This window comes from Homo sapiens, chromosome 21 (genome assembly GCF_000001405.40).
Source record: "Homo sapiens chromosome 21, GRCh38.p14 Primary Assembly".
NCBI lineage: Eukaryota > Metazoa > Chordata > Mammalia > Primates > Hominidae > Homo > Homo sapiens.
Window position 1 is genome coordinate 43,151,417 of NC_000021.9, and position 23,886 is coordinate 43,175,302.

At 56.5% G+C, this 23,886-nt stretch overlaps 1 protein-coding gene and 1 long non-coding RNA gene across 3 annotated transcripts, besides 7 other annotated features; one reads left to right on the plus strand and one right to left on the minus strand.

Moving 5' to 3' along the window:
• Positions 1–1,430: 1,430 nt before the first annotated feature.
• On the minus strand, positions 1,431–20,166 carry LOC107987300 (uncharacterized). The gene is made up of 3 exons (XR_007067885.1): positions 19,621–20,166; positions 7,258–7,312; positions 1,431–5,524 (listed from the first exon to the last, which is right to left on the minus strand). It is a non-coding gene; the product is annotated as an uncharacterized LOC107987300 (long non-coding RNA).
• Positions 2,603–3,273: an enhancer, noted in NCBI's record as "H3K27ac-H3K4me1 hESC enhancer chr21:44574129-44574799 (GRCh37/hg19 assembly coordinates)". NCBI's record gives its function as "activates a minimal SCP1, AML or CMV promoter by ChIP-STARR-seq in naive H9 embryonic stem cells {active_cell/tissue: H9 hESC(naive)}" and the evidence as "EXISTENCE:reporter gene assay evidence [ECO:0000049][PMID:30033119]".
• Positions 4,389–5,126: an enhancer, noted in NCBI's record as "H3K27ac-H3K4me1 hESC enhancer chr21:44575915-44576652 (GRCh37/hg19 assembly coordinates)". NCBI's record gives its function as "activates a minimal SCP1, AML or CMV promoter by ChIP-STARR-seq in naive H9 embryonic stem cells {active_cell/tissue: H9 hESC(naive)}" and the evidence as "EXISTENCE:reporter gene assay evidence [ECO:0000049][PMID:30033119]".
• Positions 5,127–5,862: an enhancer, noted in NCBI's record as "H3K27ac-H3K4me1 hESC enhancer chr21:44576653-44577388 (GRCh37/hg19 assembly coordinates)". NCBI's record gives its function as "activates a minimal SCP1, AML or CMV promoter by ChIP-STARR-seq in naive H9 embryonic stem cells {active_cell/tissue: H9 hESC(naive)}" and the evidence as "EXISTENCE:reporter gene assay evidence [ECO:0000049][PMID:30033119]".
• Positions 9,659–10,404: an enhancer, noted in NCBI's record as "H3K27ac-H3K4me1 hESC enhancer chr21:44581185-44581930 (GRCh37/hg19 assembly coordinates)". NCBI's record gives its function as "activates a minimal SCP1, AML or CMV promoter by ChIP-STARR-seq in naive H9 embryonic stem cells {active_cell/tissue: H9 hESC(naive)}" and the evidence as "EXISTENCE:reporter gene assay evidence [ECO:0000049][PMID:30033119]".
• Positions 15,395–15,940: an enhancer, noted in NCBI's record as "H3K4me1 hESC enhancer chr21:44586921-44587466 (GRCh37/hg19 assembly coordinates)". NCBI's record gives its function as "activates a minimal SCP1, AML or CMV promoter by ChIP-STARR-seq in naive H9 embryonic stem cells {active_cell/tissue: H9 hESC(naive)}" and the evidence as "EXISTENCE:reporter gene assay evidence [ECO:0000049][PMID:30033119]".
• On the plus strand, positions 17,592–21,394 carry CRYAA (crystallin alpha A). 2 transcript variants are annotated; one of them, NM_000394.4, is made up of 3 exons: positions 17,592–17,872; positions 19,101–19,223; positions 20,655–21,389. In NM_000394.4, the coding sequence occupies exons 1-3, from the start codon at positions 17,684–17,686 to the stop codon at positions 20,862–20,864; spliced, it is 522 nt and encodes a 173-aa protein (NP_000385.1). In that variant the 5' UTR covers positions 17,592–17,683; the 3' UTR covers positions 20,865–21,389. The 2 variants fall into 2 exon arrangements, with proteins under 2 accessions (NP_000385.1, NP_001350695.1); NM_001363766.1 differs by lacking the exon at positions 17,592–17,872 and adding an exon at positions 18,820–18,993 and having other exon boundaries at positions 20,655–21,394.
• Positions 21,216–21,846: an enhancer, noted in NCBI's record as "H3K27ac-H3K4me1 hESC enhancer chr21:44592742-44593372 (GRCh37/hg19 assembly coordinates)". NCBI's record gives its function as "activates a minimal SCP1, AML or CMV promoter by ChIP-STARR-seq in primed H9 embryonic stem cells {active_cell/tissue: H9 hESC(primed)}" and the evidence as "EXISTENCE:reporter gene assay evidence [ECO:0000049][PMID:30033119]".
• Positions 21,847–22,477: an enhancer, noted in NCBI's record as "H3K27ac-H3K4me1 hESC enhancer chr21:44593373-44594003 (GRCh37/hg19 assembly coordinates)". NCBI's record gives its function as "activates a minimal SCP1, AML or CMV promoter by ChIP-STARR-seq in naive and primed H9 embryonic stem cells {active_cell/tissue: H9 hESC(naive and primed)}" and the evidence as "EXISTENCE:reporter gene assay evidence [ECO:0000049][PMID:30033119]".

Sequence of the window (23,886 nt, forward strand, 5' to 3'; positions counted from 1 at the left end):
CATGGAGCTTACCTTCTAGTAGAGAAGGCAGACCATACACAAGATAAATAAGGGGACTATACTGAATGTTAGAGAATAACGTGTGTTCAGGAGGAAAAGAACTGCCAGAGGAGAGGAGGGCGTGAGATGTGTGGAAGTCCTCATGCATTGGTCAGCTCTTGTTATGGTAATGCTACATAACAAACACCCCTAAGTTCCAGTGGCTTCCACCCATTCTCTTGGGTCTATGGTTTGCTTGGGTGGTTCTGCCTCAGGCATTGGGTTGGGTTAGGGCCACTCCATGTGTTACCCTTCTGAGGTTCAGACAGAGGGAACAGCGTCTATGTGGGCACAGCCTTCTCATGGCGCAGGGCTCAACCATGCACGCACATTGAATGCCTTCAGCCGGACATGGCCAAAGTTATGTCTGCTCACACTCCATTGCCCAAAGCAAGTCACAAGTCGCAACAAGTCAGAAGGCTGGGGACACACACTCTGCCCATAGCGAGCCATGGCAGAGTCACTCACAAGGTGGGCGCTGTGGTTCGAATGCTTCTCTCAAGAAGCATGTGTTGGAAACTTATTCCCCAAGGCCACAGTGTTGGGAGGCGGGCCTAATGGGAGGTGATTCGGCCCTGGGGTGACTAGGCGAGAGGCGGGGCCCTCATGAATGGATGAATGCTATAATCGCTAGAATACGTTTGTTATCGTGAATCTGGGCTCCTTACGAAAGGGTGCGTTGGGTCCCCCCTCTCTTTGCTCTTCCACCTGCTGCTGCGGGATGACACAGCAGGAAGTCCCACCTGCCAACTTCTCAGCCTCCAGAACTGGGAGGAAATAAAGTTCTGTTCTTTATAAAGTGTGTAGTCTGCGGTATTCTGTTATAGCAGCACAAAATGGATTACGACAGCGGGTTTTCGGTACAGACCTCAAGGAAATTAGTGCACCAGCCATGCAGAGAACTGCAGGAAGAGCTCTCTGAGGTGGGAACAGGCCATGCAAAGGCCCTGAGGTAGGAGGGCACATGCGCCTCGGAGAACCCCAAGGGGCCAGCATGGTAGGAGCATTGGGAACAAGGGGAGGCTGGGGCTAGGTCTGTAAGGCACTGCGGGTCACCGTAAAGAATTTGACTTTTCCCCTGGGTAAGAAGGGAAATCAGGCAAGATGTGGAGTCCAGGAGGGGCCTGATGCAATCCTCGTTTTAGGAATTGCCCCAGCTGCTGGGTGGAGAATAGACTTGGAGGCAAAGCCATAAATGGGAACCCAGGGAGGCACGAACGGCAACCATCCAGGCAGAGGACAGTGCTGTCTTGGATCGAGGTGGTGGGGTGGTGAGGAATGGGTAAAGTCTGGACAGTTTTTGCAGGTAGAGGTGACAGAATTTGCTGATAAATCAGGGATGGGGCGTGTCTCAGTCCGCTTGGGCTGCCGTACAAGATACCACAGACTGAGTGATTTAAATAACAGAAATTTATTATCTCAGTTCTAGAGGCTGGAAGTCTGAGATGAAAGTGTCAGAAGGGCTGGCTCTTCCTGAGGCCTCTCTCTGTGGTTTGCGGACAGCCACCTTCTCCCTGTGTCCTCACAGGGCCTTTCCTCTGGGCACACACATCCCTGGTGTCTCTTTCTCTTTTCTTATAAGGACGCCAGTCCTATTGGATTAGAGCCCCCTGCTTATGACCTAATGTAATGTTGATTACCTCCTCCTATCTCCAAATACAGTCACACTGGGGTTAGGGCTGTAGTAACTCTTGCCTGTAATCCCAGCTACTAGGGAGGCCCAGGCACGAGGATCACTTCAGCCCAGGAGTTCAAGTCTAGCCTGGGCAACATAGTGAGAGGCCGTTTCCTAAAAAAAAAAAAAGGGTTTTTTCGTTTTTGTTTTTGTTTTTTTTTTTTTTTCGAGAAGGAGTCTTGCTCTGTTGCCCAGGCTGGAGTGCAGTTTCTCAATCTCGGCTCACTGCAACTTCCGCCTCCTGGGGTTCAAGCGATCCTCTTGCCTCAGCCTCCTGAGTAGCTGGGATTACAGGTGCCGGCCACCACACCCGGCTAATTTTTGTGTTTTTAGTGGAGACAGGGTTTCGCCATGTTGGCCGGGCTGGTCTCAAACTCCTGACCTCATGTGATCCACCCGCCTCGGCCTTCCAAAGTGCTGGGATTACAAGTGTAAGCCACTGCGCCCGGCCAAGAGTGAAGTTCTGATAGCTGGGGTAAGAAAGGCCGTGGGAACAGCCGGTTTCAGACACGCTGGGTCTAAGACGCTGCGTCTGGCGCTGCTCGGCATCCAATGGGAGCCGTGGAGAAGCCAGGCGAGTGCGTAGGGCGGAGCCAGCGCACAGGAAATAGGACGTGATGAGGTCAACCGGCTGGTCCAAGTGTGGACGGAAGTAGAGGATGCAAGCACCGAGCCCCGGGGCCCCCAGCATTGGCGGGGAGGAGCTCGCGGTGCGGGAGAAGCAGGGGACCGCGCATCCTGGAGACCAGGTGGAGCCAGTGCGCCCGGAAGGGGCGTGGCCCGCTGACAGCCGCCCAGGAGGCCGGGGGAGGCCTGGAGCCGAGGGCCGCGCGTGGCAATGTGGAGAGACATTTTGGTGGAGTCATGGGGCCACAGCCTGATTGGTGAGAACAGGAAGGGAAATTGCAGATGGGCCTGGGCCCCCTGGCTCCCGCATACTCCAGGACCAGGGCTGAGTCATCGTTCACCGTGTGTGACCAGGGCCCCGTGTGGCCGGCTGTCACTCGGTATCCAGTTACCCTGGGCAGACCACTGGCGGCACCCCCCAGCCAGAGGCCGCAGCAACACACACGCCTGCAGGCGACCAGGCCGGACTGCATGCCCCGTGGGGGAACTGAGGGCGTTTCAGTAACAGAGTGTTAGGGGACACGGGTTGGGTGGCTTGGAAAGGGCCTAAGGTGGGGTTTGTTTTAGATTGGGGTGGTGAGGGCGCAGGGGCCCGGTAGGATTCTCTAACAGGGCAGCAGCCACTCATTTAGCAACAGGAGAGGCGTCCAGCGTTTCGTGGGCTGTGCGGTGACCTTGCTTTTGTGCTTAGACACGATTACGGGTGGCCTTGCTTCATCTCCTTCTGCCATGGTCTCGTGGCCCCTGTCTCAGCTGGCGTTCCGGGAGGTTGTTTACGTCCAGGAGGAAAGCAAAAGCCTGGCCCTGAGCATCAGGGTGGCTCTGGACGCCAGGGCTGTACTGTGTTCTTTCTCGACACGAATGAGTTTCTGGACAGTTTTCCCGGCTAGTGCAGACCCACACTGACTGAAAACCGAAATCTTTGCACATGAGAAAAATAACTCCCATGGCAAGGCGTGGCGGCTCACACCTGTAATCTCAGTGCTTTGGGAGGCCAAGGCAGGAAGATCGCTTGAGGCCAGGAGTTCGAGGCCAGCCTGGGCAACATAAGGATACCCTGTCTGTACAAAAATAACAGATTAAAAAAAAAAAACAAAATAACACCCATGGTGCAGCCATTTCTTGGGGGGTTATGGTAATTTTAGTAGCAATCATCTAAGAAGAGGTTTTGTTTCCTCAACCCGAATGCGCTCCCTTTCCTCAAGGCTCTGAGAGCAGCAGGAAGGCTCACCTTCCTTGTTTAGTGAGGTGTTAACCTTCCTGGGTTCACCCCGGTGCAACGGTTTGTGTCATGCATCAACTTGGCTGGGCCACGGCGCCCGGTTTGGTCAAACGCCCATCTGGATGTTGTCGTGGACAGCTGTGTAGATGTGATTCGTATTTAGGTCAGTAGACTTTTAAAGCTGGTGACCTTCCGTCGTGTGGGTGGGTCTTGTCCGGTCAGCCAGAGGCCTTAAGTTCAAAGACTAAGCTTTCCTGAAGAAGAAGGAATTGCACCTCCCTCAAGACTGCAATACAGAAACCCTGCCTGGGTATCCAGCATGCCGCCCTGCAGAACTTGGACTTGAGACCTCAGTCAGCTCTTGCCTGAGTCTCCAGCCTGCCGCCTGCCCTGCAGATTTTGGAAGTGACAACCCCCACAATTGCCCGAGCCAATTTCTTCAAATAAATCTCTTTCCCTCCATCCATCCATTCATCCTTCTGTCCACCTATCCTATCGGCTCTGTTCTGTGGGTTCTGTTCCTCTGGGAACCCTGACAGATGCCCCTGGTTTGGTGGGTGTCATGGTCTCTGGTGCTGGTGCTACACCCTGTTGCTGCCCTGGCCAGAAGCCTGCAGGTGCCTCTGAGCCCACGGAAGCTAAGGGGGCCGTTTCCAAGGGGCCGCATTCCCCGCCTCTCTGCTCTTGGGGCTTCGGTCCATTCGGCCCGCGTGAGAGCTAGGAGTGCCACAGTCGACATCCTCAGTGGGATTGGTACCAGTTGCCTACACCAGCAACCCTCTCATGGAGGAGCCTTCGGTGGCTTTGCTCCTTACCCCACCTCCTGCCCCCTCACTCACTCCTGCTTCCCAGGTCACCTTCCAAAGGCCCCACACCTGCCTTCTCCTCTCCATCCCCCGAGGTGGGGAGCCAACACCCCCCCAGCAGCCCACCTCCCTGCTTTCCCTTGGAAGCACTGCTCTCCAGGTGTCCACAGGCAGCAGGGGTTGGGGGGCTCCTTAGCGCCTTCGCCTTGACCAGGCACGTGGAGTCATGGATCCAGATCCTGGCTCTGAGAGCGCCTGCTTCTGACTGCAGGCCTGGCCGACCCGTGTCATTGCCCCTCGAGGCAGGGCGGAACCTCTGGGTGGGGAAAGGTGGGCCGTGCTGCTCAGGAACCAAAGGCAAACCAGCCTTGTCCTCACGCCCAGAGCTGTGTCCAGCCTCCTCGGCGAGCCTGGGTTGATTCCAGGAGAGACTAAGCACCCACTGTGTCCCACGCCTTCAGCCACGTCGCCCGTCACCTGCGGCCTGAGTGTTCCCTTCCAGAGGGCGTGAAAAACAATTGTCTGCTGAGAGGTCTTTGAAGGGGAAACAAGTGCCCGGGGCAGGCCAGGACCGCAGACTGGATCTTGAGGACTGGCAGCGCAGTGTTTTGTGCAGAAAAGCTAAGGGAGATGTTACGTGCTCAGACCACACGAAGCGGGCAGCATCGTGGCGGGCTTAGCCCGGGCACTGCCTCTCGAAGCTTCCAGGAGCTTCCTGTAACTTTCCGGATGGTGCCGCAGCTGCTTCCCCGGCACCCGGGTCGCCGGGGTTCTGACTGCAGAGGGTTTCTGTGCGGGGTGCGGGGTCCACTCAGGTGAAGCACTCAGGACACCCCTGGTGTGGTGACAGCAGCAGCGTCACTGTCACGGGTGATGCGGCAACAGCTCCTCTCCCTCCTCCAGCACTGGCCTAGGAACTGTTCATTCTTCTGAACACAGCGAATGCCCAGGGCTTGAGCCCCCCTTGCCTGCCTCCAGTCATTTCTGGGTCAGGTGGGCTAAGAACAAACACACAGTGAGTGTCGAGTCTTGCCCGGTGACTGACTGCAGAAGCCTCTGTGTGGCTTCGCTCCCGGATGTCTGAAGGCCCCTCCCTGGGCTGCACGGCGGCTCCTGCGGGGCACTGCGGGAAGAGCCCCAGCTCTCCAGCTAAACCTGTGGGATGCGGCCATGGTGAGAAAAGGAAACGACCATCTTCACGCTGACACTGAGCAAAGAAAAGATAAAACTCATAGCAAATTTACCATGTTAGATTTACAAACGTTAGCAGTGGAATAAATCCAGAGGAAAGAACAAAAGAAAGATTCGAGACCAGCCTGGCCAGCAGGGTGAAACCCCATCTTTACTAAAAATACAAAAAGTAGCCGGGCATGGTGGCGAGCACCTGCAATCCCAGCTACTCAGGAGGCTGAGCCAGGAGAATTGCTTGAACCCGGGAGGTGGAGGTTGCAGTGAGCTGAGATTGTATCACTGCACTCCAGCCTGGGTGACAGAGGGAGACTCCATGTCAAAAAAAAAAAAAGAAGATATGAGTAGAAATGAATGAAATAAAAAACGACATACTGTAGAGAGGATCAACGAAGCCAAAATCTAATAAAATTGATAAACCGCCCCAATTAATCACGAAAGAGGTGGAGACAAATAAACAAGAGGGATGAGAAAAAAAAAAACAAAATGCCCACCACGCTCGTGAGGCCGGAGATCACCGAGGAATCCGAGCACCCGGGGGACGCTGCATGCCCGTGAGTGTGATACCTACACAAAGGAGGATTTTCTAAAAACCAGAAGTCCTATGGCCATTAAAAAATGGAATCAGTAGGAAAAAAAAAAGCCCCAAAGAGAAAGTAACATTCCTAGATGTTAACTGGTGAGTTTCTACCAACAAGTAAGAACAGTTTCAGTTTTATAGAAATTCTCCCAAAGAAAAGAAAATTAGAAAACATGCTTCCCTCACCTCCCGTTTTATTTGTTTATTTTTATTTGAGACAGGGTCTGGTTCTGTTGCCCAGGCTGGAGTGCAGTGGTGCAATCTCTGCTCACTGTAACCTCTGCCTGCTGGGCTCAAGTCATCGTCCCACCTCGGCCTCCTGAGTAGCTGGGATTACAGGTGCGTGCCATCACATCCATCTAATTTTTGTATTTTTTTGTAAAGGCAGGGTTTTGCCATGTTGCCTTGGCTGGTCTCAAGCTTCTGAGCTCAAGCCATCCACCCTCCTCAGCCTCCCAAAGCACTGGGATTACAGGGGTGAGCCGCTGCGCCCAGCCCACCCCCCGTTTTATAAGGTGGTTATAACGTTGGTATCAAAACCGGATAAGCACAATACAAGAGAGAGCTACAGGCCAGCTGCATTCAGAGCACAGGTGGAAAATCCTAAACGTAACAGAGCTGAACCCATCGTCCCATCTAGCGCTCCTGGGAGGCAAGCCTGGGCTGGGGTGCCCCCACCCATCCTGGTGAGAGCCTCGGGCTGAGCTGCCTTGATCCCAAGGGTTCTGCTTCCCCATGGTTCCCCGAAGGGCCCAGAAAGACACGTCAGAAAGTTGGGGACGGGGTGAGGGAGGCCATCATCCTTTGGAGCAGATTTGGCCACCTGGAGATGAGAAGAGCCAGTTCTGCAAAGTACCCTCCCTCCCTTCCTCACCTCCCTTTCACTTCCCTGGGGTGGTACCTCCCAACAAAACATCTGCACCTAGACGCTCCCCAGGCCCCCTCTTCTTGGAAACCTGGGCTAAGACAGTAACTAAGCTGGGTTGGTTCCAATCATGTGAGATTGGTTTAGCATTAGACAACTGATTCATAAAGTTCTTTGTATTAACATATCAAAAGAGGAAAAGACGTATGACCTTTTCAGGAACGCAGAAGCAATTTCAGAAAAAATGATACCTACGTAACAACCAGAGCAGTGAGCAGATTCTTTTTAGGTCATGATGCAAACACATCAACTGTAAAAGAACATATTTGAGACAATCAGGGTTATCTGATGAGGGACTAGGTTTTAGATGACATCGAGAAATTGTTAGGAATCCTGTCAAACGTGAGAGGGAATTTGCGCTTATAGAAAGAAATGTTCGATTTGTAGGAGAGGTACCTGAAGTGCGCGGGGGTGAAATGACGTGGCGTCTGTGCTTTGCTTTAAAATACTCCAGTAAAGAAAAAAACCAAGAGAAGCGGGAAGCAGGGCAAAATCCTCCTAATTGTTGGATCTGGCTGAGGAGTATGTGAAGGGCTCATTGTTCCATGGTCTCTACTTTTGAGACTGTGTAAAAATTTTCATGATAAAAATAAACTCAATGAAGTAGCATTTGCCGCCACCGTAAAAGTAATACCCCGTGATGGGCGCACCAGGTGCTGGCCCGCAGGGGGAGGGCGGGACGTCACTGGCTCTGTCCCCGTCACCCATGACCTGCACGTCCTGGCAGTGGTGAGCGCCCAGTGTGTGCTGTGGGACAGAATTATCTCTAAACCCCCGAAAGAGGATCCTCTCCCCAACTTAACTCCAGCCTCGGAGGGCCTCGGGGGTCTATGGCACACTCTCCCTGCTGGCTTTGTTCTGGAAAGGGCTGGCGGGACATGACCGGCCCCACGTTGCACTCTGAGGGCAGCTCGGGGGTCTGCAGGGGACCATCCTGTGTAACCTGCTGACCTCGAGGAGAAGCAGGGCGAGGGCTTAGCTCAGGCACATTCCCCGCTGAGCCACAACAATGCCCCATCCGCCCTACACAGGCGGATTTGTGTGTGAGCCCCGCGGGGCCCTGGAGTGGAAAATTGCAGCGCCAGCCTTTGTGGGGCAGACTGCTGGCGTTACGGGAATCCTGTAGATGAAGTGAATGTGGCCTTTGTGTGAGGGGCTGGCATTGAGCTCGGGTGCAGTGGGGCGGCAAATCGCTGAGGACAGGCTTAAGCTGGGCCGCGGAAACAATGCCGGGGAGCCACGGAGGAGCCATCGCAGAGGCCGGGAAAAACCTCCCGACAGGGCTCGATCTGTAGAGATATTTGAGAAAAATGATCTCCGAGACAGTGGCTTACACACCCCCACGCATACACACCACGGACACACACCACACACATCACACACACACCATACACTATAGATGTACCACACACACACCCCACCACCTATACAACACACACCACACACACCACACACACACCATACACTATAGATGTACCACACATACACACCCCACACCACCTATACAACACACACCACACACACCACAGACACACACCACAGATATACCACACACACACCAGATACACAACATACACATCACACACACCACACAGACACACACCACAGATACTCCACACTGCACACACATCATACACCACACACACACCACACACACATCACACACATCACACACACATCACACACATCGCACACCACACGCACCACAGAAACATCACACACCACACATATACCACACACCCCACATTCCACACACCCCACACATCACATAAACACCACACACACACCACTCACATCACACACCACATATACCACACACATCACATATACAACACACACCACACACACACCCCACACATCACATATACAACACACACAGCACATACCAGACACATCACACACACACACACCACACACACTATACACGGTACATTGTACACCACACACCACACACACATCACACACACGTCACAGAAACCCCACACACCACACATATACCACACACACACACCACACACGTCACAGACACACCACACACACCACACCCATCACAGAAACCCCACACACCACACGTATACCACACACACACCACACACGTCACAGAAACCCCACACACCACACACACATCACACACCACATATCCAACACACACCCCCCACACACCACACATATCAAATATACACCACACCCCCACACACGCTCCCAGACCAGTTGGAGCCCTGCCCTCGCACCCCAGATCCCGCACATCTGTCCCTCTGTTCCCTTGGCCTCCCACCCCTTCTCCACCCTCAGGAGCCCCATGCAGCCCACACTGGGTCCTGCCCAGCCCCTGGGCCGGAGGGGATGGTCCCCCTGCGCCGTCCCCAGCGCTGCCCACCCTGCAGAACGTCCTCAGGCGGCCGGGCTCCACACCTGCGACAGGCCCGAGGCCCCGGCTGCAGGCCCCACTCGGCTGCAGTTCCCGTCGAGGCAGCCAATGGCCTTGAGGCCTCTCCCAGGTGGGACGGCCCCTGCGAGGGCTGGTGGGCACAGGGGCCAGCCCTGCCCCATGGCCTTGCTCAGCTGTGGGAGGCGTGCCTTTTCTTTCTCTGATCTCTGTGAAACTCTTACTTTTTCTTCCCCGGGGCGGGGGGGTGAGGGTCGGGCCTGTGGTGGCACTGCGCTGAGCCAGGCATGCTGGGCTGGCGTCTCCCTTGCTGGGGCGCAGATGGCCTAGGTGGGGCCCGTGTGGAAGCTGCGTCCATCTGACTCTGCCGCCTGTGCGGTCTCTGCATCTGTGAGGGGGGACCCAGCAGCAGTGGCCCAGGGTGGGGCTGGGACTGAGGGTCAGGCCGGATGGAGCTGTGCGGCGGCACCTGGCCCACATTCTCCCTGCGGCCACCAAGACCCCAGGTGGGCACTGGCACCTTGGGCTATGCCCAGGTCCCCACCCTCAGCCTTCTCTGGAAGCTGCTGGCTCTGTGGTGACCCCCTCCCGCACCCCCTTAACCCAAGGCGGGTCCTTTGGGGCCCACTGGGTGCTCTGGCTGGGTCTGCCCTGGGCTGGTCACTCTCGCCAGGGTCTCGGTCCAGGGCACAGGCAGGAGTGACGGTTACTCTCCAGGAGGCCGGGAGAACCAAGAGACATCCAATGAGGAAGGGCTGCCCATGCTTAAAGATGTCCAGTGAGGAAGGGCCACCCGTGCCCAGGGACATCCAGTGAGGAAGGGCTGCCTGTGCCCAGGGTGATCATGTTTGCACAGACCCCGGTGTGCCTGCGGGGCTGAGCTGTTTGCCTACCCCCATGCCCTCCCCAGGTGGCAGGCTACAAGACCAGCCTTGTTCTTGCCCTTCCCAGCCCTGGCCTGGGAGTCAGACACTTGACTCGTAGCCTTGACTTCCGTGCCAGGCTGCCTGGAGAGGCCAGCCTCTTCCCGGAGGGGTCCTTGGGGCCTACTGGGCAGACCTCTCTCTCCACGGCCCTTCCTGTCCCTAGGCGGACCTTTCCCTGACCCAGCTCACACCAGCCTGGGGCCTGTGTGCTGGGGCCGGGCTCCTGCAGGCTGTCCCGGGCAGGCGCCAGGGGGCCCTGTGCCACTGGGCGGTGGTGTGGGAGGCACAGGAAGAAGCTTACCTCACCCTTCAGACATCCTGGGGGGTACCCTTGTTTCCTATATCATTTCAACCTTGGGGTCCCAGCATTGCTGGCGACGAGGCCGGCTGCAGGTTTTGGCTCAGAGGCAGACTGAGGGCAGCGCCAAAGGGCTCCAGGCCTCCCGAAACAGCCTCGGTCTGCTCACACTTGGAGGGCTGTCAGAGGCCACTGGACGCCAGCAAGAAGGTTGAGGAGCCCCAGGCCGGCGGTGCCCCCAAGGTATCTGACACCAGAGTGAGTCACAGTTTTGAATATTCCATCCTCCATACCGCAAAATTATTTTCAGGATAGTTATGTAATAATCACGGATAATCATGATTTTCTTGATTCATTCTTTAAAGCAATTAACAGAAAAAGAATGCATTTCAATGTTAAAGATATTCAAATTCAGTGACTTCTTTCATGCATGAGCTAACATCTCAGCTTCAGCACCACATCTCCGTTTTCGCTCTGGTTTCACAGTCTCACATTTGAAACACAGAATAAAAACACCAAGAGGTCATGCAGAATGACAGAACTGAAATACTTCCAGCTCGGTTTCTTTGTGAGTGCTGTTGTTGTTATGTGAAATTTCTCGTTTAAGCACAGAAATATGTTGAACCACGGGCTGGAGATGAGAACCCCTCCCCCAGTGCACCTGCACCCGCCCTTCAAAGCCGCTCCAAGCCAATGCAGGTGGCTGCGTCTGCAGTGTCGGGAGTGGCCCCATGACTGGAAGTTCACTGGAAAATTTCCACTCAGTAAATGTTTAGAACAAGAAATAAAACTGTGCTAATGTGAAGATTACAGAAATATAGTCTATCCTCATGACTCATGCATTCCAGATTTGGGAATTCCCTGTGATGTCAGTGTGCCAGGGACCACAGACTGGATGGCTTAAACAACAGACATTTGTTGTCTCACAGTCCTGGAGCCTGGAAGTCCAAGATCGCAGGGTCGGTGGGGCCGGTTCCTTCCTGTGCTTGCAGACGGGCCTCTTCTTGTTGTGCCCTCATGTGGACTTTCCTCTGTGTGCATGTGTTCTTGGTGTCTCTTTTTGGAATTTGTCCAGATTTCCTCCTCTTTTTTTTTTTTTTTTTTAAGACAGAGTGAGACTCTGTCGCCAGGCAGGAGTGCAGTGGTGCAATCTCGGCTCACTGCAGCCTCCGTTTTCCGGGTTCAAGTGATTCTCCTGCCTCAGCCTCCCGAGTAGCTGGGACTACAGGTGCATGCCACCATGCCTGGCTATTTTTTTGTATTTTAGTAGAGACGGGGTTTCACCATGTTGTCCAGGCTGGTCTTGAACTCCTGACCTCGTGATCCACCCGCCTTGGCCTCCCAAAGTGTTGGGATTACAGGCGTGAGCCACCGCGCCCAGCTGATTTCCTCTTCTTATAAGGAAGCCAGTCACATGCATTAGGGCTCACCCAAATGACCTCCTTTTAACTTAATTTCCTGAGAGATCCTATCTCCAAATACAGTCACACTCTGAGGTCCTGGGGTTAGTACTTCAACACAGGAATTTTTTGGGAACTCAGTTCAGTCCATGACACCTACTTGGTCAAATTTATTTGTAGGCTGGGCACGGTGGCTCACGCCTGTAATCCCAGCACCTCTGGAGGCCAAGGTGGGAGGATCGCTTGAGCCTAGGAGTTCAAGACCAGCCTGGGCAACATAGCAAGCAAGACCCCGTCCCTACAAAAAAATTACCAAAAAAATTTATTTGTGACCCCAAATCAATAATTGCAGAGTTTTCCTGGTCATTCACAGATGTGTAGAGAGTGCCGAGACATTTGTCTCCTTACACATATTCCTGGGTGAGGTTGAACAAGGCAGCACTATGCCCTCTTGTTTCAGCCTCAGGCGGTCAACCAGTATCCTTTTTGAGGTCTATTTAGTGCCATGATTTTTGCATTTCGTGTGTTTTGTTTGTGATTTTGCTTTTTAAAACGTCCCCAAGCCCAGTGCTGAAGAGCTGTGTGCTTGGAGGCATTTTTAAGTAAGTGGATTAAGCACTTCAGTTAAAATGCAGAAATTGTCCAAACAGATTAAAAACATTATCTAATTATATGCTGTCTACAAGAGACACTTTAGATTCAAAGACACAAATAGTTTGAAAGTAAAAGATTTCTAAAAATATGCCATACAAATGGAAACCCAAAGACAGTTTTGGTTACTGTTTGGTTACTCTTCAGCTTTGTGCTTGGGGGCATTTTAAACAGCAAAATCACGAACAAAACACACAAAACTGCAAAAGGTAAGCAAGCTGCAGTGCATCTCACAGAGGAAACACGGGTTAGAGAAGCTTCCTTCGGGCAGAGCTACAGGGCTGCTGGCCATGAGTTCAGTGTTAGTGAATCAATGTTTATAGATTCAGTAAAGCATCTTTTTTTTTTTTTTCTTTTTTGGAACAGAGTCTCATTCTGTTGCCCAGTCTGAAGTGCAGTGGCACGATCTCAGCTCACTGCAACCTCCACCTCCTGGGTTCAAGCGATTCTCCTGCCTCAGCCTCCCAAGTAGCTGGGATTACAGGCCTGCACCATCACGCCTGGCTAATTTTAGTATTTTTAATAGAAATGGGGTTTCACCATTTTGGCTAGGCTGATCTTGAACTCCTGGCCTCAGGTGATACACCCGCCTTGGCCTCCCAAAGTGCTGGGATTACAGGCGTGAGCCACCACGCCTGGCCTCAGTAAAGCATCTGTACACAGAAACACTCATAAGACAAATGATGCATTGCTCAGCTGATGAGAACATTGGGGCCAGAGGCTCGCAGGACCCTAAGCCTGTGTCTCCCCTGGGAGCCATGGTTCAGCAGTCCAGGCATCACTAATTCAGTGCTCACAGCAGCTTTATAGAACACCCCTACCTCTAGAAACAACTGCTATGAATGCAGCAATTGCTAGAACTTAGCCCAGCAAAAGGGGATTTTGTGCTGACATGATTTGCATGGACAGTGGCTGGGAATCAGGAAAAGAACACTGACTTGTCTTTGGTTTCATTCTGGTTTTTCATTTTCCGCAGACATCATATCCCTCAGTGCACTGGCTGTCACCTCCCCCTGCCCGCCACCTGCACACTGTGGCTTTGAGGCAGCATCTTCAACACAAATTTCAGGAGGAGCCCAGGTCCAGAGCAAAAGGGTCTTGTTTCCCCAGAATCCAGGCGAATGGCGCAGGGCTCTGGCAGGCGGATGCACTGACATCAGCGTGCATTTACTTGTTTGTTGCTTGTCTCTACCCAAGAGAATATCAGCTCCAGAAAAGCAGGGACTTTGTTTAACACAGCGTTAAGAGACAGGACTCGACCAGTGTGGATCAATTAAGTGAGGATGTTTGCACAGCAGGCTCCGGGCCAGCGAGTGGGGGTTAAGGCTCCTGAAAGTAGCCGGCTTTGAGATGTGGTGGGGGTGATCCTGAATTATCCAGGTGGGCTGAGAGCGTAATTGCCAGGTGGATGTGATGGGAGAGACCTCACCGCCCACCACTGCCTTTGAAGGTGGAGGAGGGGCCACGAGCCAAGAAAGGCAGGTGCCTTGAGATGCCAGAGAAGGCAAGAAACAGACTCCCCTGAGCCTCCAGCAGGAGCCAGCCCTGCCAGTGTCTTGCTTTAAGTTGAATGAGACACATTTCAGACTTGTGGCCTCCAGAACTGTGAGAGAAGACGTTTGTGTTGTTTTAAGCCACTAAGTCTGTGATTGGTACATCAGCCACAAGACACTAATACAACACCTAAACTCGGGGTTTGAAAAGGCCCCTAGGGCCCTAGAGCCCTCCCTGCCCCCGGTCCAGGCCTTCCTGCTTCTGTTGTGCAGACTCAGGCGCTGGCTCACTCAGAAGCCCCCTGCAGGCCCGGCCAATCCTGTGGCAGAGCCTCGACGTCCCACGGCGGCCTCTGAGCCGCCAGGCCCTACAGCGTGTGGTGAGGGGCGCAAGAGGTGTGAGTGCCTGGACCTTGCTCTGCCCCGTGTCTGAGGACCTTGCCCTGCCCCGTGTCTGAGGACCTTGCCCCATCCTCGGCACCCAGAGCTGTGCAGTCCATAGGACCAGGCTGGTGCCCAGCCCCAGGTTGGTGCCTCAGCTGCCTCCTCAGCCTGCAGTCTCCACTGTTTGACTGACCATGTGCAGGGCCAGCTGTGAAGGACAGCACAGCTCCTCCCTCCCTGCCAAGTGTCAGGGGCACTAAAAACACTGCCATCAATGTTCTGATGTTTAAATCATGTTTTGATGCAATGTTTAAACAAATCAAAATGGGTCGGGCGCAGTGGCTCACGCCTGTAATCCCATCACTCTGGGAGGCCGAAGCGAGTGGATCACCAGAGATCAGGAGTTCGAGACCAGCCTGGCCAACACGGCGAAACCTCATCTCTACTAAAAATATAAAAATTAGCTGGGTGTAGTGGTGTGTGCCTGTAATCTCAGCTACTTGGGAGGCTGAGGCAGGAGAATCGTTTGAACCCGGGAGGCAGAGGTTGCAGTGAGCTGAGATTGTGCCACTGCACTCCAGCCTGGGCGACAGAGCGAGACTCCATCTCAAAAATAAATAAATAAAATAAATAAGTAAATCAAAATGAATGCAAAAAATTTGTGGTGGACAAACTGTCAACATTTTACATAAAGCCAGGATGAGGACGACGGCCTTCTCCTTTTGCTTCAAGCTCCAGCATGGCTCTGCCCAGCACTGACCGTGCTCCTGGCCTGGCTCGACCCTCCCCAGGGCCAAGCTCCATGCTGGTTTCCATCCCAAAGGACTCTTCTTCCCCCTCCCTGTGCCCCGGGAATAGGCAGCCAGCACAGTGGGGCCGCCCGCTGCCTCACCCAGACCCTGCCACTGCTTGGATGTTGACCCCCAGACTGGAAAGGTGGCTTTAAACCCCCTTCCCTTCTTCCAAGCCAAGTGACCTGGGCGTGCGGCTTAACCTTCTAAGCTCCCATTTCCTGGTCTATGAAGCGGGAATGATGCTGGGACCTGCTTCACAGGGTGGCTCTGAGGACCCACAGGCAGAGAGGTCTGGTGTAGGCTTTCGGGGGAAGCACCCATCACTCTCCCAGCGTTTCCTATCTGCACCTTAATTTGGCACCCCAGGGAATCGCTCCTCTGGAATTGTAACCTTGCAGGGCAAAAGCTATCATTTCAAGATTTTTTGGGATCCTGTGTCCCCGGACAGTGCTGTAAATGTAGGAGGAAGGGTGCTGCTCATGGGTGCTGCTCATGATGGAGGTGCCCCGTGGAGCACGCCTCGGAGCCCCCCCTTTCATCCCTGATCCCATCTGGGATGTGTCAGGTCTGATCCGCATACACTGGGGCATCTGACATTTCATGGCCTTCTGAGCCCATGGGCTGGAGATGAATTTGCAAAGCCCGGGAGTGTCCTGGGTGTGTGTTCACTCCACACGCACGAATCTGTTAGAGGCTGAGTAGGAACTAGGAGGCCAAAGAGAACCAGGCAACTTCCCACAGCCTGGACCGTACACTAGAAAAGCTAGCCTGGGAGAGGGGGCATGGCCTCTTCCCAGGCTGGCAGGGGGGATGTGGGGGAGGACCATGCTCCCCAGGGCCAGTTTACCAAAATATCAAAATACCAAAATATCAAAAGACTTAAAACTAGGAGTGAGCCAGGTGCAGTGGCTCACGCCTGTAATCCTACACTTTGAGAGGCCAAGGCAGGTGGGTCACCTGAGGTCAAGAGTTTGAGACCAGCCTGGCCAACACGGTGAAACCCTGTCTCTACTAAAAATACAAAAATAATAATAATAATAATAATAATAATAATTAGCCAGGTGTGGTGGCAGGCACCTGCAGTCTCAGCTACTCAGGAGGCTGAGGTGGGAGAATTGTTTGAACCTGGGAGGCAGAGGTTGCAGTGAGCTGAGATCGCGCCACTATATGATCTGGGCGCCACTCTGGGTGACACAGCAAGACTCCATCTCAAAAACAAACAAACAAAACCGGGAGTGCCTGGACACTTAGTGAGAACTGGACAGGGGCCATGGGTCGAGGAGCAAAATAATCACCAGGACTTGTGGATAACAGGATCATGTGGGTGGTGGGTCCGCATGGGTGACAGGGACGTGGGGACATGTCGCCACCCTGACAGGAGCAGCCCAACTCAACAGCCACGGCAGGTCATGCCACGGAGGCTCGAGGCGTTACGTGGGGATGTTACATCAAGGCATTACATCATTACGAGATGTAACGCTCGAGGCGTTACATCGAGGGGACGATGGCCATGGGGCTGGGCGTCCAGGGTGGGCCGCAGAGGGAAGCTCACCACGTGGTGCTCTCATCTGCCCACAGCCCAGCCCGTCTTCCTGTTGGAGGCATGTGACCCCTGGAGGACAAGCATGAAACGCCATAGGGCTCCCCCAGGTGCTGGAATTATGGCACCTTGCAGCTTCTTCTCCACGAGTTTTAACAAGCATGCGTACTTTTGTAAGTGGTGAGTGTAACGGAGGTTCACAGATGCACTCCGCTTTGGAAACCAGTGCACTCTTGCCCAGGCCCGGTGAGACTCTGAGGACGATGTGTCTAACCTCTGTGTCTAACGGGGGTGTGTGCTCTCCCTCCTCTGGCGACCATGAGGACCACCCCGGCAGGACAAGGTGTGCAGAGAACTAGCATGGTCCCTGGCACGTAGCCCCTGCCCAGTGACTGGCAGATGAGAAGCTCCATTGTCGCCCCAGGCGAGTATGGGGCACAGGCGCCTCCTTGGGTTGTCTGCCCTCCCGGGAGCCCCAGGGTGCCCAGGCGGGCCTCAGCTGAGTCCAGGCCTCGGGGACAGTCCGTGCAGCCCCTCCTGGGGCTGGGGGCGGGCACTTGTCCCAGCCACGTTTCTGCTGACTGAGCAGCCTTCTTCATGAGCTCACGCCTTTCCAGAGAAATCCCTTAATGCCTCCATTCTGCTGGTGGCATATATAGGGAGGGCTCGGCCTTGGCTCCACACTGCGCTGCCCAGAGGCCCCGCTGACTCCTGCCAGCCTCCAGGTCCCCGTGGTACCAAAGCTGAACATGGACGTGACCATCCAGCACCCCTGGTTCAAGCGCACCCTGGGGCCCTTCTACCCCAGCCGGCTGTTCGACCAGTTTTTCGGCGAGGGCCTTTTTGAGTATGACCTGCTGCCCTTCCTGTCGTCCACCATCAGCCCCTACTACCGCCAGTCCCTCTTCCGCACCGTGCTGGACTCCGGCATCTCTGAGGTAAGACGTGGCCCGTGGTGCTGGCCTCTCCTCGCTGCTCAGAGGGTGGTGGCCTCGGTGGGTGGAGAGCGATGGACTCTGGTCTTGCTCCGTCAGGCAGGTGGCCTCGTCCCACTTCATCCCCTTGCAGAGGCTGGGCGAGAGCCTGTGTCCCCACTGCAGCCACGTGGCAGAGCTTCCCCTGGCACTGGGGAGAGGGTGGACAAGGGAGCAGCCTGAATCCACCTTTGCTTTCCTCCATCAGCTCATGACCCATGTGTGCTTTGTAAGGCACCAGCCACATACTGGAAACCCCAAGAGCAGCCCATCCAGGCATGCGTGGTGGCGAATGCCAGCTCCCGGGTTCCTCTGGTCTCCTGAGTCCCGGAGACCTGGGAGCAGGTGGGGGTCATAGTCCTGAAAGCCAGAGAGCAGGGCGTTCCTAGCACCTCCTCCAATGAGCTCGGCCTGCCCACGGCTAGCAAAGCTCTTGGCAAGTTTACTTAGGTGCCCTGCCAAGGCTAAAAGGACAGGCAATGGACGCCCCCCCCCCCACCCAACCACAGGCCTCCTCTCTGAGCCACGGGTGAGCGGTGCAGGTTCTGCTGTTCTGGAGGGCCTGAGTCCCACCCAGCACCTCATAAACAGGGTCCTCCCCAGGGCTGCTGCAGTAGGCATCAACGCCAGGGTGCAAAATGCCTCAGGGAGCCAAGGCTGAGCCAGGGGAGTGAGAAGGAGCATGTGGAAGTGCGTTTTGGAGAGGCAGCTGCGCAGGCTGTCAGCAGGCTCCGGCCGCTTCTATAGACAGCATGACACCAAGGGCAGTGACCTCATTCCACAGGCTGAGTCCAGCCAGCCAGCCAAGCATCACCAGCCAGACGATTGACCCTAACGGACCAACCAACCCGTAACGACCCCTCCTACCATAACCAGTAGCCAGCCAGCCCATAACCAGCCAACTTATCTATAACCAGCCACCTGACCATAGCCAAACAACCAGCCGGCCCACCAGTAGCATTCAGCCCCTCAGCTGGCCCTGAGGGTTTGGAGACAGGTCGAGGGTCATGCCTGTCTGTCCAGGAGACAGTCACAGGCCCCCGAAAGCTCTGCCCCACTTGGTGTGTGGGAGAAGAGGCCGGCAGGTGACCGAAGCATCTCTGTTCTGATAACCGGGACCCGCCCTGTCTCTGCCAACCCCAGCAGGGACGGCACCCTCTGGGCAGCTCCACATGGCACGTTTGGATTTCAGGTTCGATCCGACCGGGACAAGTTCGTCATCTTCCTCGATGTGAAGCACTTCTCCCCGGAGGACCTCACCGTGAAGGTGCAGGACGACTTTGTGGAGATCCACGGAAAGCACAACGAGCGCCAGGTGAGCCCAGGCACTGAGAGGTGGGAGAGGGGGGCGAGTTGGGCGCGAGGACAAGGGGGTCACGGCGGGCACGACCGGGCCTGCACACCTGCACCATGCCTTCAACCCTGGGAGAGGGACGCTCTCCAGGGGACCCCGAATCAGGCCTGGCTTTTCCCCAAGGGAGGGGCCGTGCCCACCTGAGCACAGCCAGCCCCTCCCGGTGACAGAGGTCACCATTCCCGAGCTAATGTGGCTCAGGGATCCAGGTTAGGGTCCCTTCCCGGGCTGCACCCAGCCGTCGCCAGCTCCATCCCTGTCACCTGGATGCCAGGGTGGTCTTAGAAAGAACCCCAGGAAGTGGGAGTGCCCCGGGTGGCCGCCTCCTAGCCAGTGTACATCTTCACATGAACCCTACCTGAGGAAGCCAGTCCCCGACGGCATAGCTGCATCCGCTTGGAATGCTTTACAGGCATTGACACCTTCGCCTCACAGCAGCACTTTGGAACCAGTGTCCTCATTATTCCAGGGCACGGCTGGGGAACAAGGGGGTCCTCAGCCTGCTGGGTCCCACAGCTAGTACCGGGCAGGTGGACGGGAGCTTCTCCCCACAGTCACCCTGATGCCCCGCTCTTGCTCGGCTGGAGGCCTCGGATCTCCGTGGTGTTGAGGGAGCCGGGGCACTGGAGCCCTGGTGACCTGCATCTCCTGGCGGAGCCGGGAAGAGCTCATGGACTGTCACAGATGGACAGTGCCCCGCGGGGGCTGGAGAGCAGAGTGGGGCTGGAAGGTGGAACTCTTAGCCAAAGTCTTGGTTTCTTTTGGCCAGGGTCCTCTTTCAATGGCTGGAGAAGGTGGTGCTGGGGGGTGAACGCTGACCTCCTCATGTGCTGCCCCTCCCTCGCCTGGGCCCGGTAAAGCCCCCACGTAGCCCCAGCCAGCCTGGAACATGCTTCCTGAGCTCCCAGCTCTTGGTCTTTGCACCCAGTGGAGGAGGAGGTCAGCCCAGGGAGCTGAGTCTGCGGTTTAGGGCGTCCAGGGGACGTGGAAGCATGTGGGTCGTCTGGCCACATTAGGTAGGGCTGCAGAGACCTGGGCTAGAGCAGTCCTGCGGGGTCTGGAAGGGGAAGACTGGCTGAGGTGCGGGGCCTGGTCTGGAATGATCCTGCGATTTTGGAGTGAAGCCATGGAGCGGGAAGAGACAACCCCCCGCGGGGAATAGCCCGGCAAGTGGCCACGAGGCCAGGCTGAGGTCCAGAGAAGCAGGGGCATGAATCCATAAATCCCAGGGGGCCTGGCCATGGGATGTGCTGGCTGCACCCGGCCCCTGTGAGAGCCCCCGCAGGCTGGCCCCCTTCTGCAGTCAGTGGGGCTGGGGCAGCTTCTCTGGCATGGGGCGAGGCAGCCGCCTGCACAGTGGCCCCCCTGACTGTGCGCCCCCACCCTCTCCAGGACGACCACGGCTACATTTCCCGTGAGTTCCACCGCCGCTACCGCCTGCCGTCCAACGTGGACCAGTCGGCCCTCTCTTGCTCCCTGTCTGCCGATGGCATGCTGACCTTCTGTGGCCCCAAGATCCAGACTGGCCTGGATGCCACCCACGCCGAGCGAGCCATCCCCGTGTCGCGGGAGGAGAAGCCCACCTCGGCTCCCTCGTCCTAAGCAGGCATTGCCTCGGCTGGCTCCCCTGCAGCCCTGGCCCATCATGGGGGGAGCACCCTGAGGGCGGGGTGTCTGTCTTCCTTTGCTTCCCTTTTTTCCTTTCCACCTTCTCACATGGAATGAGGGTTTGAGAGAGCAGCCAGGAGAGCTTAGGGTCTCAGGGTGTCCCAGACCCCGACACCGGCCAGTGGCGGAAGTGACCGCACCTCACACTCCTTTAGATAGCAGCCTGGCTCCCCTGGGGTGCAGGCGCCTCAACTCTGCTGAGGGTCCAGAAGGAGGGGGTGACCTCCGGCCAGGTGCCTCCTGACACACCTGCAGCCTCCCTCCGCGGCGGGCCCTGCCCACACCTCCTGGGGCGCGTGAGGCCCGTGGGGCCGGGGCTTCTGTGCACCTGGGCTCTCGCGGCCTCTTCTCTCAGACCGTCTTCCTCCAACCCCTCTATGTAGTGCCGCTCTTGGGGACATGGGTCGCCCATGAGAGCGCAGCCCGCGGCAATCAATAAACAGCAGGTGATACAAGCAACCCGCCGTCTGCTGGTGCTGTCTCCATCAGGGGCGCGAGGGGCAGGAGGGCGGCGCCGGGAGGGAGGACAGCGGGGTCTCCTGCTCGCGTTGGACCCGGTGGCCTCGGAACGATGGGGTCGCCTGCGTCCCTTCCTTCTCCTGAGCTCAAGCGCCTCCCTCCACACTGGGCTGGAAGGAGAGGTTTTGGGGGCAGAGCCTCTGATGGGAAAGGGACTGGGGAGCACTTCCGAGAGCTGGGGGCGGGGAGGGACCTGGAAGGGGCTGCAGGGAATGGAGGGAGGCCGGGCTCCTTTCTCTGTCCGCGCCGGCACCGGGGCGGGACGCCAGCCCTGGCCTCCTTCTGCGGGGCCGTCCGGTTCTCTCGGGGTCTGCTGGGTCGTCCTGTTCTCTCGGGGGTCCTGCTGCCTTCGGGGCTGGGCTTTAAGGGCACTCGTGCTTTTGAGGAGGTGGAACTCGGCAGCTTCCCCTGGGCAACCCATCATGGCCCCGAGCTGGAGGCGGAAGCTCGCTCTGTCCCCTCCCGGGACCAGACACTGGGCGGCCATGCCAGACCCCGCCACGGGGAGGGAGACTCGGCCTGGGGGGCCCTGGCTGCCTGCTGCGCTCACCGAGGGGCATCCGGGGGGCCAGAGGGCACCCAAGGGGAAGCAGACGCCACGGCGGGTGGGCCCTGCCAGCGCCCTCAGCCAAGTAAAGCGCCCTCGACCCCGGAGGCCGAAGGCACCGGGACCCTGAGGCACTGGGACCCCCATGGCACCAGCAGGACGACCACAGGGGCGCAGCCTCCACCCGGGAGAACACAGACACTGACACCAACGGGTTTTCAAAAAGTCAGCAACAGGCATTAGCGTGGGCGGCCATAGTGACGCCCAGTGACATCACGTGCCACGGACACTGAACAGCACACACACCACACACTCCACACACACACACCACACACTCCACACACAACACACTCCACACACACCACAGACACACACACACCCCTCAACACACCATGCCCTTTGTCTCTCTTTGTATTCCTCTGGCCAGGCCGTGGTGTGACGGGTTCTGAGTCCTGGGAGTGGCTCCCCTAGACTCCCCCCCTCCTCCTCCCTCCAGCAGGACCTGCCCGGCTGTTGTGCCATCGAGTCCCCATTTGTACAGAAGGGGGTGCCCTGTGGTTGGCAACAACATGACCCACTGTGCTTTGGGGCTGCGGCTGGATGTTTTTGAAAATCGGGGTGTCTGGGGCTCCCTGCTCCTCCTGGGTCTGTCCCGGACCAGCTGAGCGGACACCTTTGCTCTGCACAGCCTGGCAGCCATTGCAGGGAGGCGGGCCCACCCCAACATCTGGTAGCTCCGGGTCCCGTCCCACCGGCTGCACAGTGAATGGAGCTGTCACTCACGCCTGCAGCCTTGCTTGACTGCGGGTCCTGCCTGGACCTTGTTAGGGGCTGGAAGGTGACTCCCTGAAAATTATATGGGGTCCTACCCCCAAAGGCTCAGAATGGGACTGTGTTTGGCGGTGGGGGCTTTGATTAAATTGAAGTGATGTCACTGGGGTGGGCCCTGGCCCAGTCTGGCCGGTGTCCTTGTAAGAAGAGGAGATGAGGACACAGACCTACAGAGGGACAACCCCGTGAGGGCACAGGGAGGAGACACTGTCTGCAAGCCAAGGAGAGACGCCCCAGAGGAACCGGCCCTGCTGCCCCTTGACCTTGGACTCCCGGCCTCCAGGACCCGGCAGAAACGATGTCTGCCATTGGAGCCGCAGCTGTGGCGTTGCAGCTGCGGGAACCGACGCATTCAGGCCCAAAGACATAGCCTTTGGCTAGGCCTTGGCAGGGTCTGCAAGGCCCGTGGGTGGTTCACCAGATCCTCGATCAGGCTCCTTGGAGAGTCGCACGGAGCACCAGGGCCAGCCCAGGCAGAACTTCCCCTGGCTGGTGGGCTGTCTGATCTCCTCTGCTCCCCCAGTTGGGTCTTCCAGCAGCACAGGCTCAGCAAGGACTTGGAGGGGGTGGGGGGAGGGGCTCTCATCTCATCTGGCCTCCAAGACATGCAGCGTGACACCTCCCATCTCCCCTCCTGGGGCCTCCTGATGCCATCCTTCCTCGGCTCTCCAATCACACCCCACCCGGGCGGTTCTTAAACTCAGGGGCCTGGGGCTGCTTCACCTCTGGCCTGGGGTAGGCTAGATACGCCTGAGAGATTGTCCATACAGGGCTCAGAGCCTGGCTCCATCCCAGGCTGGCCACAGCCCCTATCTCCTCTCCTCCCACCTTGGGGCCTATTCTGGAACAGCCTGCCTTGCAAGGGCCGCCCAGGTGATTTCAGTGATTTCACTGTCACCATGGCTACTGTGAGGCCAAGGTCACACGGACTCCCCACAGGCACCAAGCTGACGGTCATCTGACAGCAGCCTCATCACCACCTTGTCCAGATGAGACAGAGGCTCAGCAGGGACTTGTGCAAGGCCCCAGCCAGCCAATGGCAAGGCCTGGAGACCTAGG

Excerpts from the sequence above, each read along its gene's own strand:
- CRYAA (NM_000394.4), top strand. The coding sequence starts at position 17,684 with ATGGACGTGACCATCCAGCACCCCTGGTTCAAGCGCACCCTGGGGCCC. Across the intron at positions 17,873-19,100 it reads TGGACTCCGGCATCTCTGAG|GTTCGATCCGACCGGGACAA; the intron begins GTAAGACGTGGC and ends TTTGGATTTCAG. Across the intron at positions 19,224-20,654 it reads GAAAGCACAACGAGCGCCAG|GACGACCACGGCTACATTTC; the intron begins GTGAGCCCAGGC and ends CACCCTCTCCAG.